This window comes from Homo sapiens, chromosome 13 (genome assembly GCF_000001405.40).
Source record: "Homo sapiens chromosome 13, GRCh38.p14 Primary Assembly".
NCBI classification, from domain to species: Eukaryota; Metazoa; Chordata; class Mammalia; order Primates; family Hominidae; genus Homo; species Homo sapiens.
This window is the reverse complement of record NC_000013.11, coordinates 30,623,321-30,636,662: the sequence shown is the minus strand read 5'-3', so window position 1 is coordinate 30,636,662 and position 13,342 is coordinate 30,623,321. Positions and strand designations below refer to the sequence as shown.

At 38.7% G+C, this 13,342-nt stretch overlaps 1 protein-coding gene across 13 annotated transcripts in view, besides 1 other annotated feature; it reads right to left on the bottom strand.

Annotated features, from left to right (window-relative positions):
- Positions 1-13,342, bottom strand: part of USPL1 (ubiquitin specific peptidase like 1) — a 42,847-nt gene that overhangs the window by 24,104 nt on the left and 5,401 nt on the right. For 11 of the 13 annotated variants that reach the window (XM_047430027.1, XM_047430028.1, XM_047430031.1 and 8 more), the window contains one exon: positions 5,189-5,828. The exons of 1 other annotated variant lie outside the window; for it this stretch is intronic. In XM_047430027.1, the coding sequence (XP_047285983.1) occupies positions 5,189-5,828 (640 nt within the window). Of the gene's footprint in view, positions 1-2,248; positions 2,449-5,188; positions 5,829-13,342 lie in introns of those variants that run through there. One more of the 13 variants, NM_001321534.2, reaches the window with a different exon arrangement.
- Positions 8,695-8,834: an enhancer, noted in NCBI's record as "active region_7542". NCBI's record gives its function as "activates an Ori minimal core promoter by ATAC-STARR-seq in GM12878 lymphoblastoid cells {active_cell/tissue: GM12878}" and the evidence as "EXISTENCE:reporter gene assay evidence [ECO:0000049][PMID:35858748]".

Genomic DNA, 13,342 nt, shown 5'->3' with positions numbered 1-13,342 from the left:
TTGGGCACACATATCTATGTTTTTGATCACTTCTTTATGGTAATATTTATTATCTTCAAAATGGAATTACTGTGACAAGAAACTATCCAAGATTAATAAGAAAATTATTTTGAATAAAAGACTCTACATGCATCTGACTCTACTTACTCTTAAGCTACAAATAGATCTTTTCACTCACATCTCTTATAAATAATTCATACAGCCTGATCACACTCTGCTTATATGTTTCCCTAATGAAATATCTGGATTCTCCTGTAATATGAAATAAGCATTAACCAGAATTTTTGTTATTTGACCATGCCAAAAAAAAAAACTTACATTGCAAAGTAATGCAGCTCAAACATATAATTAACCAGATTATAAAAACTACAATTATTCTGTAAAAAATTAGTAACAGATTAAAAACATAAAATTAAAGTTAATTCCAATATTGAACTGCTGCTCTTCTGCAGCAAACAACTGAACTGTCACCTACTTAACACTGGGGTTTCTGTAATTAGAGAAAGCAGAAATAGAAGAAAAGTCAAAGGCAAAATGCTTGTGAGAAACTGAATTTTAAAAATTGCAAAAAACTGTAAATGACTGACACACACAAAAAAGTTCAGTCTCAAAGAAAACCTACACTGAAACAAAATATTTCTTACCTAACAAAACCATAACGTCTTGAATGTTCTAACCAAAGGTGGTTAGAAAACACTGAGGTATTTTTTCTACATAATGAAAATGGAATTATATATTGGTACAACCATTCTGAAAACTGTATTCAGCAAGACCTTTAATATTCATATTCTAATATCTTTCCTAGGAAACTAGTCAGTAATTAATTCAAAAGATATATGGATATTTGTCCTGGTGTTAATTCACAACAGCAAAAACTAGTAACAGCCTGAATGGTTAACAAGAGGGAAACGATGTATAAGATCCATATAAAAGACTGTATGACCAAACTCAAAATTTTTAGCACATTAATGAATAAGAAAATATCTACAATGTCAAGCAAAGAAAGCTTGGTATGATGTCACATCTGTCCCCAAAATATATATGGCCAAGTAAGATCAGAAAAAATATGCATCAAGACACTTCAAAAGAAGTTGAATAAAAGTGAGGATTCTTGCCCTACAAGGTAGCCATAATAATTTAAAAAGTATGAGTGCTGGGTTAGACAAAGTAACCAAGAGAATAAAATTGAGAGTTAAGGAACAGCTGCACACATACATGATATGTTGATACATGCTAGAGGTGGCATGGCAGATCAAGTGAGAAAATAAAGTGGAGCTACAAAAACTGGCTATGCAAATGGGAAAAAAATGGATCCTTACCTCATACCACACATCAATATGAATTCCAACTGAATGAGAAATTTCAATGTCAAAAGCAAAACTTTATAACTTTTCAGTTAAAATATAGGTGAATGATTTTCTGACCTTGGGAATAGTAATAATTTCTTTAAAAAGCCACAAACATTACTAGCTCCAAATGAAAAGATAAAGACTTCCCTATAAATCAAGACAGTTTTTAAAAAGTAAAAACACAAGCTGCAAACTGGGAGCAGATTCAGCAACACATCTGATGTAACTCTAGCAACAATGATACAAGGAACAAACTCATACAAATCAATTAAAACGTGACAATCAACAGAACAGAACAAATAGGGATAAGATACAAAAGGCATTTCACAGAAGAGGGAACAAATATGAGCAATATATACACATAGAGCCGACAACCTCTTCAAAATGTGGAAACGGCAAATCAAGATCACAGACCATTTTATACCACTCAAATAGCAAAAATCTCAAAAGTGTGAAAATAAACCAAGAAGAATATATGGATCAGGAAGACCTCTTATATACACTATTAATGGGAGAATTGCTTGGTACAACCACTTTGGAAAACAATTGTCATTATCTTGTAAATTTGGACACGAAAGTCTATAATTTTCCATTCCTTTGTTATACAGAAGGGAAACTCATACTGTGCCCCAGGAGACTTGCCCCCCAAATGGTCACAGCAGCAGCATTTATAATGGCAAAAAAACCCCACTGTCCACTGACAGGTAGATGAATATTCTGTTATATTTACAAAATGGAAGTATTATGTAGCAATGAAAAATCAATGAGCCACAACTATAAACAGCCCCATAAATTTTTACAACAAGAAAAAAAGGTCCCAGAAGATCAAAACAAACTAAATTAGGCAATACGAAGTGGTCCCTCTTCATCCGTGTTTTGCTTCCTATGGTTTCAGTTACCTGAACTCAACCGTGGTCTGAAAATATTAAGCGGAAAATTCCAGAAACAATTTATAAGCTTTAAATTTCATGCCATTCTGAGTAGCATCATGAACTCTCTTGCTGTCCTGCTGTGTTCCACTGGCAACGTGAATCTTCCCTTCGTCTAATGTGTCCATGCTGTCTACACTCCTGCCTGTGGTTCACTTAGCAGCCATCTTGGTGATGCGATCTATTGCCATGGTATTGCAGTGCTTGTGTTCAAGCAACCCTTATTTGACTTAATAATGGCCCCAAAGCACGAGCATAGTAATGCTGGCAATTCAGATATGCCAAAGAGAAGCTGTAAAATGCTTCTCTAAGTAAAAAGGTCAAAGTTCTCAACTTAAAGAAAAAAATCATATGCTGAGGTTGCTGAGATCTAAGAACAAATCTCTTATCCATGAAACTGCGAAGAAAGAAAAAGAAATTTGTGCTAATTTTGCTGTTGCATCTCAACTGCTCAAGTTATGGCCACAGTGCCTGATAAGTGTTAAGATGGAAAAAGCATTCAATTTGTGGGTGGAAGACACGATCAGAAACAAATGTTCCAACTGACAGCAACATGTTGAGCCACATTTACTTTACTTTTTTTTTTTTTTTTTTTTTTTTGAGACAGAGTCTCATTCTATCACCCAGGCAGGTTGGAGTGCAGTGGCGTGATCCCAGGTTCAAGTGATTGTTCAACTTCCACCTCCTGGGTTCAAGCAATTCTCCTGCCTCAACCTCCCAGAGTAGCTGTGACTACAGGCGTGTGCCACCATAGCCAGCCAATTTTTGTATTTTTTAGTAGAGATGGGGTTTCACCATGTTGGCCAGGCTGGTCTCGAACTCTTGACCTCATGAGATCTGCCCGCTTCAGCTTCCTAAAGTGCTGGGATTACAGATGTGAGCCACTGCACCTGGCCCACATTTAATTTACTCTTAATTAAACTTGATCATAATTATGTATGTATAGGGAAAAACATTGTATATACAGGGTTCAGTACCATCCATCCCCCATTATCTGAGAGGGATACCTTCCAAGACCCCAGTGGATGCCTAAAACCTTGGATAGTAACTAAACATTTTATATATTATGCTTTTTCCTATAACTACATACCTATGATCAAGTTTTATAATTAGGCATAGTAAGATTAAAACTAATAATAAAATACAACAATTATAACAATATGCTGTAATGAAAGTTATGTGAATGTGGTCTCCCTCTCTCTCAAAATATATTACTGTACTATACTCATCTACTTTCAGACCTCGGGTTAAATGAAACCAAGAAAAGTACAACTACAATAAGGGGAGACTACTGTATACTGTTTAGATAAACACATGTAAGAAAAACTAAGAAAAGATGGAATGATGAAACACATTTCAGATAATGATTACTTATGGGGGGGAGGTAGAGAATGGGATGGGAGGAAACGCATAGGTAAATGTAAGTTATTGGGAATGTTTTAATTCTTCCTGTGTTGGGAGGTGGGTTCATAAGTATCCTATTTTACAGAGAATAAAATGAAAAACATATCCCTTATTGTGCCAAGAGATCTTAGGAGGTTGTGTGATTATGGGTGATTTTTACTCACTTCTTCATTCTGCTTTTCAGTAGTTTAAACACTTAAAACTAACCACTATTATCCTGACACCCTGAGACACAAGCACAGTCTTAGAGTTTTGAAAAAGACTGCCTAGGCCAGGTATGGTGGCTCACACCTGTAATTTCAGCACTTTGGGAGGCCAAGGCAGGCAGATCATGAGGTCTGGAGTTCAAGACCAGCCTGACCAACATGGTGAAACCCTGTCTCTACTAAAAATACAAAAATTAGCTGGGCCTGGTGGTGGGCGCCTGTAGTCCCAGCTACTTGGGAGGCTGAGGCAGAAGAATTGCTTGAACCTGAGAGGCGGAGGTTGCAGTGAGCTGAGATCATGCCATCGCACTCCAGCCTGGGCAACAGAGTGAGGCTCTGTCTTAAAAAAAAAAAAAAAAAAAAAAAAATCACAATAGCAAAGACTTGGAACCAACCCAAATGCCCATCAATGATAGACTGGATAAAGAAAATGTGGCACATATACACCATAGAATACTATGCAGCCATAAAAAAGGATGAGTTCATGTCCTTTGCAGGGACATGGATAAAGCTGGAAACCATCATTCTCAGCAAACTAACACAAGAACAAAAAACCAAACACCATATATTCTCACTCATAAGTGACAGTTGAACAATGAGAACACATGGACACAGGGAGGGGAACATCACACACTGGGGCCTGATGGGGAATGGAGGGGTTGGGGAAGGACAGCATTAGGAGAAATACCTAATATAGGTGACGGGTTGATGGGTGCAACAAACCACCATGGCACACGTATACCTATGTAACAAAACTGCACGTTCTGCACATGTACCCCAGAACTTAAAGTATAAAAAAAAAAAACAAAAAAACTGCCTTTTGGGCAGTCAGGATAATGTAACTGGTATTATCTCAAGCTTCGTGATACTGTTCCTGGGCTCCTTGCTCCCAGGCCTCCAGGAAACAGAAGCAATGGATGACATCTTTCCCACATGCTGGGAGACAAAACTCAACATTAATATTTTTAAGAATTAAAGACAAGTAGGCTGGAATGGTGACTCATGCCTGTAATCCCAGCACTTTGGGAGGCTGAGGCGGGAAGGGTGCTTGCACCCAGGAAATCGAGTCCAGCCTGGGCAAGACAGTGGGGCCACCATCTCACTATCTTAGCTGGCTATGGTGGTGCACGACTGTAGTTCCAGCTACTTGGGAGACTGAGGTGGGAGGCCCACCTGAGCCAGGGAAGTCAAGGCTGCAAGGAGACATGATCATGCCACTGCACTCCAGCCTGGGTGACAGAATGAGACCCTGACTCCAGATGAATAAATAAGTAAATAAAAATAAAATATTAGTACCAACCTTTAACACCACTCAATTGACTGGTATATAGAAGTGTATTTGCTTGATTATATTTTGTAAGCAACCGCCAGAATATAGATTCCTCCTTCGAGCACAGTCCAGTCACGGTGTTCTTTAACTCTTCCGAGTGCACCAAAGCTGACAGGATACAGTCTAACCAACAGAGAGCATAAGCATTTTTCCACTGGACACATAAAGCCTGGGGAAATGATGTACATTTGCTCTCCAGTGGCATTTCCAGTTTAGATGTACATCCTTCATTTTGAGGGGAAGGTCTGCCAGTTCCAGAGACATCAACTGTAGCAGGATCTTTTGTAGTAGCCATGTCAACAGTATCAGCTTCCAAAATCTCATTCCGCTCCAAGGAATCAGCTGTCCTAATTGGATTCTGTTGACCACTACTATCAGGTAAGTTTGACGAGGTTTCGTCATATACTTCTCCATTATGTTTGCTGTTCAAAACTTTTCCACCGTCAATAGCAATATAATTTCTAGTCTTTTTGGAATTTGCTAAAAGAAGTGAATCCTTATAGCTGCTTTCTAAGCTCTTCCTTTTCTGAGGCTTATGTGGAGTGTGACATTCTTCCAAATCAGGAGAAATTAGGTTATTAAGTGATTTAGAGCCCAAAGGATAGATGCACTGGAAAGTAAAAATAAAATGATAAAAACTACACAAATTCAAATAACTTCATGTTTTATAGTTTTCATATCATGAAAAACATGTATAGAATGTTAGCATTGATTTGATGACAGGTTATATTTATACACATAAATTTGAAAAAATTAGAGACAAACAACTACTTAATCAAAAGTTTGGCCTCCAAAAGAATAATTTTTTTCAGGTTAATTTGAACAATCAAGGGTTTAATCTGAGTTACAAAAGGGTAAGCTAATAAGGAAAACATATTTTTGCTTTAATAAAAATCTAATGTTAAGTGAATTTAAAATTTTCAACAACGTAAAGAAACACTATAATGAATGTTACTCTTTTGGGACAGACACTACATTATACTACACATTTTAAAAGTATTTTCAAATTAAAAGTGCACAGAGTAATTTCTGTGTTTCCTATATTTTGAAACTGAATATGCATCTCATAGCACTGCTGTTTTACATCTTTATTGGGTTTAGAGTCCAAGTGGCTGAATTTTAATGACTTCATGAAATCTTACTGTGCATTAACACAATTTATGCCAAATAACAACAATGTAAACATATCACTAAAAGAATCAGTGGGTCTTTCCTAAGTTTAAAAACTACCAGAATATTTTAAATAACAAATTCAAGAACCCTCTACACTAAAGGTCTGCTTTTAAAATATGCCTTCTTTTTCAGGTGGGCATGGCAGTACACTCCCGTATTCCCAGCTACTTGGGAGGCTGAGATGGGAGGATTGCTTAAGCCCAGGAGTTGGAGGCTGCAATGAGCTATGATTGCCCCACTCTACTGCTCCAGCCTGGGCAACAGAGCAAGACCCTGTCTCTAAAATAATAATAATAATAATAATAATAGTTAATTAATGCCTTCTTTTACACAAGTATGGTAGACTACTATCTTGATGGCCCTCCCTATGAACTAGAGAACTACACCTCCTGGTAATTCATGCCCTCCTGCAGCCAGTCCCTACACTGTACAGAGTTGGCTTGGCCCTGTGACTAGCTTTGATGGAACATTAGCACACATGATATACATAGAGGCCTGATAAGCACTGGCTCAAGAGGACAAGCCCTTCTTCTGGAACACTCCTTCTTAGTCCCAGCTATCACACTGTGAAGAGCCCAGCTGGCCTCATGGAGAGAACCTCATGGAAAATAACTGAGACCCCTGGCTGACTATTTGAACTCAACTTCCAGCTAGCAGCTAGTACCAACTGCCAGCCATGTGGACATTTCAGCTGTCCCAGCTGACATGGTGTGATGTGTAAGAATTCCCTAGTCAACTCACATAATCATGTGAAATAATAAATGGAGCCATTAAAATTTTTTTTTGAGACAGGGTCTGGCTCTGTTATCCAGGCTGGAGTATAGTGGCACGATCCCAGCTCACTGCAACCTCTGCCTCCTGGGATCAAGAGATCCTACAACCTTAGCCTCCCAAGTAGCTGGTGCTAAAGGCGCCTGCCACGGTATTTTCTGTAGAGACAAGGTTTCACCACGTTGCCCAGGCTGCTCTCAAACTCCTGGGTTCAAGCAATCTGCCTGCCTCGGCCTCCCAAAGTGCTGGAGTTCCAGATGTGAGCCACCATGCCCAGCCACCATTAAAATTTTTGAGCGACTAAGTTTCAAGGTGATTCGTTTCACACCAACAGATAACTGAAATGCACTAAATCCCCTCAGATAGCCTCTTCTACCAATTGAACATTACACTCATAATACTGCACTTACTATGAAATTCTTTAGTATAAATGGACAAGTTCTAGATTCTTCTGACTTTCCAACTAGCTGCAGTCACCATCAACTAACAACCTGTCAACATGATGCTTTGAGATTACTTCCTAAGTCCTATCATATGTCAGAAAACTGAGAATCCTTTAAAAATAGCATATATGTATTTAAAGCATCATAAAAAGGTACGTATCCAAAAAAAACTCAAAAGCAGAATCTTGAAAAGGTACCTGCACACCCACATTCACTGCAGCATTATTCACAATTCCCAAAAAGTGAAAGCAACTCAAACATCTGCAGATAGGTGAATGGATAAAGAAAATGTGGCATACACATAATGTGGAATATTACTCAACCTTAAAAGTAAGAAACTCCTCATGTCCTTTGCAGAGACATGGATGAAGCTGGAAACCATCATTCTCAGCAAACTAACACAGGAACAGAAAACCAAACACCGCATGTTCTCACTCGTAAGTGGGAGCTGAACAATGAGAACACACGGACACAGAGAGGGGAACATCACACACCGGGGCCTGTCGGCGGGTAGGGGGCTAGGGGAGGGATAGCATTAGGAGAAATACCTAACGTAGATGACAGGCTGACAGGTGCAACAAACCACCATGGCACGTGTATACCTATGTAACAAGCCTGCACGTTCTGCACATGTATCCCAGAACTTAAAGTATAATAAAATAAATAAATAAACAGAAATAAACTGGAGATTAAGACTTAAAAAAGAAAAGGAACTCCTAACTGTATATTCATCCATGCTACAACATGGATGAATCTTGAGGCCATTATGCCAAGTGAAATAAGCCAGTCACAAAAAAGGCAAATACTGTATGATTCCGTTTATATGAGGTACTGAGTCTGATTCATAGAAACATAAACTAGAGGCCGGGTACAGTGGCTCAAGCCTGTAATCCCAGCACTTTGGGAGGCTGAGGCAGGCAGAACACCTGAGGTCAGGAGTTCGAGACCAGCCTGGCCAACATGGTGAAACCCCCGTCTCTACTAAAAATACAAAAAAAAAAAAAAAAAAAAAAATTAGCCAGGCATGGTGGTGCACCCCTGTAGTCCCAGCTACTCAGGAGGCTGAGGGAGGAGAACTGCTTGAACCCGCAGGCAGAAGTTGCAGCGAGCCGAGATCATGCCACTACACTCCAGCCTGGGCGACAGAGACTCCATCTCAAAAGAAAAAAAAAGAAAAGAAACAGAAACTAGAATGGTTGCCAGAAGCTGGGGGAGAGGAAAATGGGAAGTGGTTGTTTAATGGGTACAGAGTTTCAGTTTTGCAAGATGAAAAAAGTTCTAGAGATCTGCTGCACAAGTGAATATACCTAATACTCCTGAACTCTATACATAAAAATGGTTAAGTTGATGAATTTTTTTACAATTTAAAAATTAATACAAATTTTTTTAAGAGAAAAAAAAATCCTGAGACGAAAACCCTTTGTGAATCTCAAGTAGTCAAGATCATGGTATATGCATCCTACTTACACCTCTACTTTATTCAAAACATAATAAACCCTTGGTTCCAAAGGAATGCATATTAAAAAAAAAAAAAGAACAAAACAGTAATAAACCATAAGAGGCCCCGGGACTGCAAAACTTAGTGATTTCCACCCACACTCTTCGCAAGTGTCTTCACTGACTTTTCTCTATATAATCTGTGCTCCCACCATAGGCCAATCTGTAATATAATTTGTCCTTGCCCTGATTTTTCCCTTATAAATTAATGATTTCAGATTTTTATCTTTTTTCTTTTTATAAAATTTTGTTGCCTCTTTCCACATGTTCTAAATATTTGTATCTCTGTATACCTGACTTGTTTCTATTTACAGTGAACATGTATCATTTTTATAACTAGAATAAAGCTTTTAAGCTGTCTTCAAAAAAGTCATAAAAATATACACAAAGCATTAGTATTTTAGCCCAGCGCAACCATCTAGTATCATTTAAAATCCAATGCTGAAAAAAACCTAATCCTGTCTCTTTCACTGAGTTTTGGAGCAGCTTAAGTAAATTCCTGTACTTATTCTTGTGAAATAGGAAAAAGGAAAACATACCATGTCTTCTTATACTTGTATAAGTAATTATCAACAAGGTATGGCCAAAGACAAATTATAATAATAATGTACTCATTTTACAAATGGAGAAAACAAAAAAAGTTTTCTTTGATTACTCAACATTAATGATTTAAAATTTTTATTATAAATTTCATGGGTTTTTAAAAAAGACTAATTAAATGTTCCAAAGTAAACGCTGAATGATAGACTACTCCACGAAAAAAAAAAAGTTAAAACTTCCTACTGTTTAAAAACACTTGAGAGTTTCAATTTGGTATAATTTTGGACCAGTCTTGAATATTAGTGTTTACAAATCAAGGAACATTTTAATGTAAATACCTGACTAAAAGAGGTTTTCCAAATGGTTCTTTGCAATTTACAGCAGAGTAAACTCCAAATTTTATAACGGAACTCTTTGGAAATAATTTGATTCAGAGGACTTATACAGGGATCAGCAAAGTTTACTGATAAAGGGCTAGATAATAAATATTTAGATTTTATGAGCTACATAGTCTGTCACAACTACCCAACTCTGTTGTTGTATGCAAAAGAAGCCATGAACAATACATAAATGATTGAGCATGGCTATGTTCCGGTAAAACTTTATTTATGAACACTGAAATTTGAATTTCATTTAATTTTCACATATTATGAAAGGGTATTCTTCTTTTGATTTATTTATTTATTTATTTATTTATTTATTTATTTTGAGATAGAGTCTCCTCTGTCGCCCAGGCTGGAGTGCAGTGGCTCAAATCTTGGCTCACTGCAACTTCTGCCACTGGCTTCAAGCGACTCTCCTGCCTCAGCCTCCCAAGTAGCTGGGATTACAGGCATATGCCACCACACCCGGCTATTTTGTATTTTTAGTAGAGACAGGTTTTCACCATGTTGGCCAGGCTGGTCTCGAACTCCTGACCTCAAGAGAATCCACCCACCTTGGCCTCCCAAAGTGCTGGGATTACAGGTGTGAAACACTGCACCTGGCCCTTCTTTTGATTTTTTCTGGCATTTTTTATTTTGATATTTTCCTAACCATTTAAAAAACAAAAAAATCATTCCTTGTTTGTGCATCATACAAAATGTCTGCTCACTCCTGGTGTAAACCAATCTACTTCATAAAGTACACTGGGCTCTCATTGCTGACTAGAAATTAAAAAAATAATAATAAATTACTCATGTTCCTTTTTAACATTTCCAAAGTATATACTTAAAATTCTTGATTATATATTTTTTGCTTTATCACTTGAAAAAGAATGCTTCAAAAACCAAAACTCCGGGCTGGGCGTGGTGGCTCACACCTGTAACCCCAGCATTTTGGGAGGCCGAGGTGGGTGGATCACCTGAGGTCAGGAAATCAAGCCCATCCTGGCCATAGTGAAACCCCGTCTCTACTAAAAATACAAAAATTAGCTGGGCTGGGTGGCACATGCCTGTAATCTCACCTACTGAGGAGGCTGAGGCAGGAGAATCCCTTGAACCAGGGAGTCGGAGGTTGCGGTGAGCCGAGATCGCACCACTGCACTCCAGCCTCGTGACAGAGCGAGACTCCGTCTCAAAAAAAAAAAAAAAAAAAACAAAAAACAAAAAACCAACTAAAAATCTATGTAGTACATCTAACTTTAATAGCCAAAAACCTAACTCCTGGGGACAAGGACTTCTCTATTCTTACAGTCCTGATCTTCTCCCCAAAACCTTGCTCTTCCAAGTCTTCCCAGCTCAGTAATTCACGATTCCATTCTTCTAATTTTTCAAGCCAAAAATCTTGGAACTATCCTTGATTCCTCTTTCCAACCCCATATCCCAATCTTTCAGCAAATCCTGTTGGCTTTACCTTCAAAGTATAAATAAACTCCAACCATGCCTCAACACCTCTGCCACCACCCTCTCCCCCAGAATACTGCAACTGCCTTCAACTAGTCCAAAGGGAAAAAAGCTTTTTTTCCTTTCTACTTATCAATCTAAATAAAAAGAAAAGAGAAGCTTCTAAAAAGAAAGTGACATTTATTCAGGAATAAAGTATTCCAATGGGAATACACATGCCATAGTAAACTGTGTGTGTTCAGGGAGGTAAGGGAAGACAAAAGGTTTTTAAAGGAAAATAAGGAGGATCACATACTTGTTTTGAGATAATTACCCTTGGCTACAAGGATCAATAACAAGGATGACACCCGTCCACAGATGGACCAGGCAGTTGCTGGGCAGATGTCCTTGCAGAAGTATTTTCTGTGTATTTATTTCATGATGTATTTTCTGTGTATTTCAGAAGTATTTCATGATGGCCTTTGTGCAAGGGTGTGGTTTTTGCAGAGTCTTTTGAGATATTTTGGTATTTATGCATGAAAGCTCTCTCTTCATAGCCTTTCCTGGATCTATTTGTCTTTTTTTTTTCTTTTAATAGAGACAGGGTCTCACACTCTGTCATCCTGACTGGAATGCAGTGGCACAATCACAGCTCACTGCAGCCTGGACCTCCTGGGCATGGTGCCGTGCACCCGTAGTCCCCCTCCCGGGTAGCTGGGGCTACAGACTCACACCACCATGCCCAGCTAATTTAAATTTTTTTTTTTGTAGAGACAAGGCCACACTATGTTGCATGGGCTGGTCTCCAATTCCTGGGATCAAGCAATCCTCCTGCCTCAGCCTCCCAAAGTGTTGGGATTACAGTTGTCAGCCACTGTGCCTGGCCAGTCAGGATTTTTTTTTCTTTTTTAACACAAGTGACTCCATTTTGATTATGACAATTTTCACATATTCTATCCTCCCAGCACACTTTTGTGACCAGATGTGTGGGGGCTTTTTCCCCACACCAAGCAATTCTCCAGAGGACACCAAATGGGTATCCTATAATCCAATTCCATTTGGATGTTATCTACCTAGAGACCATGTCAGATCCTACAGGTTGAGGGCTCAGTCCCATGACTCCCTCCACTTCAGATGCCAATCCCACATCCAGGCCACCAGTACATCTGACTGACTGGCTACAAAGGTTCCCACTCCCCCTTCTTGGGCATAACTAGTTTGCAAGGACAGCTCGCAGAACTCAAACAAACACTTACTTATGTTTATTGGTTTATCCTAAAGGATATTATAAAGGGTATAGATGAAGAAATGAGTAGGGCAAGGTATGGGACAGAAGAGGTATGAAGCTTCCACTTCCTCTAAGCATACCACCTCCTACACGGCACCAGCCCCCAGCAACCCACTCATTAAATCCAAATCTTGATATTTTTATACAGCTTGATCTCCAGCCCCTCCACTCCTTTCCTGGAGGCCTGTACGTGGGGCTAAAAGTTCTAACCCGTTAATTCTCTAATCATGTGGTCTTTCCAGCTACTTGCCCCATCTGAGGCTATCTACGGCTCCATCCTAAGTCACCACAATAGTATGAACCCCGGTGTTAGCAAACAGGCTCATTCTGAATAACAGGACACTCTTATCATTCAGGAAATTCCAAGACTTTTAGCTCTGTAACGGAAACCATAGACAAGGACCAAATATAATTCATATTATACTATAACTAATCTCCCTGCTTCAGGTCTTGCCCATTACATATATTTTCAACAGTGCAGCCACAGTAATGCTTTTAACACTGAAGTCAACTTATGTCACTCCTCTGCCAACATCTCTGCCATGGTTCCTGGTTTCACCCATAGTAAAAGCCAGAAAGCTTACAATGGCTTATAAGACCCTACTTGGTC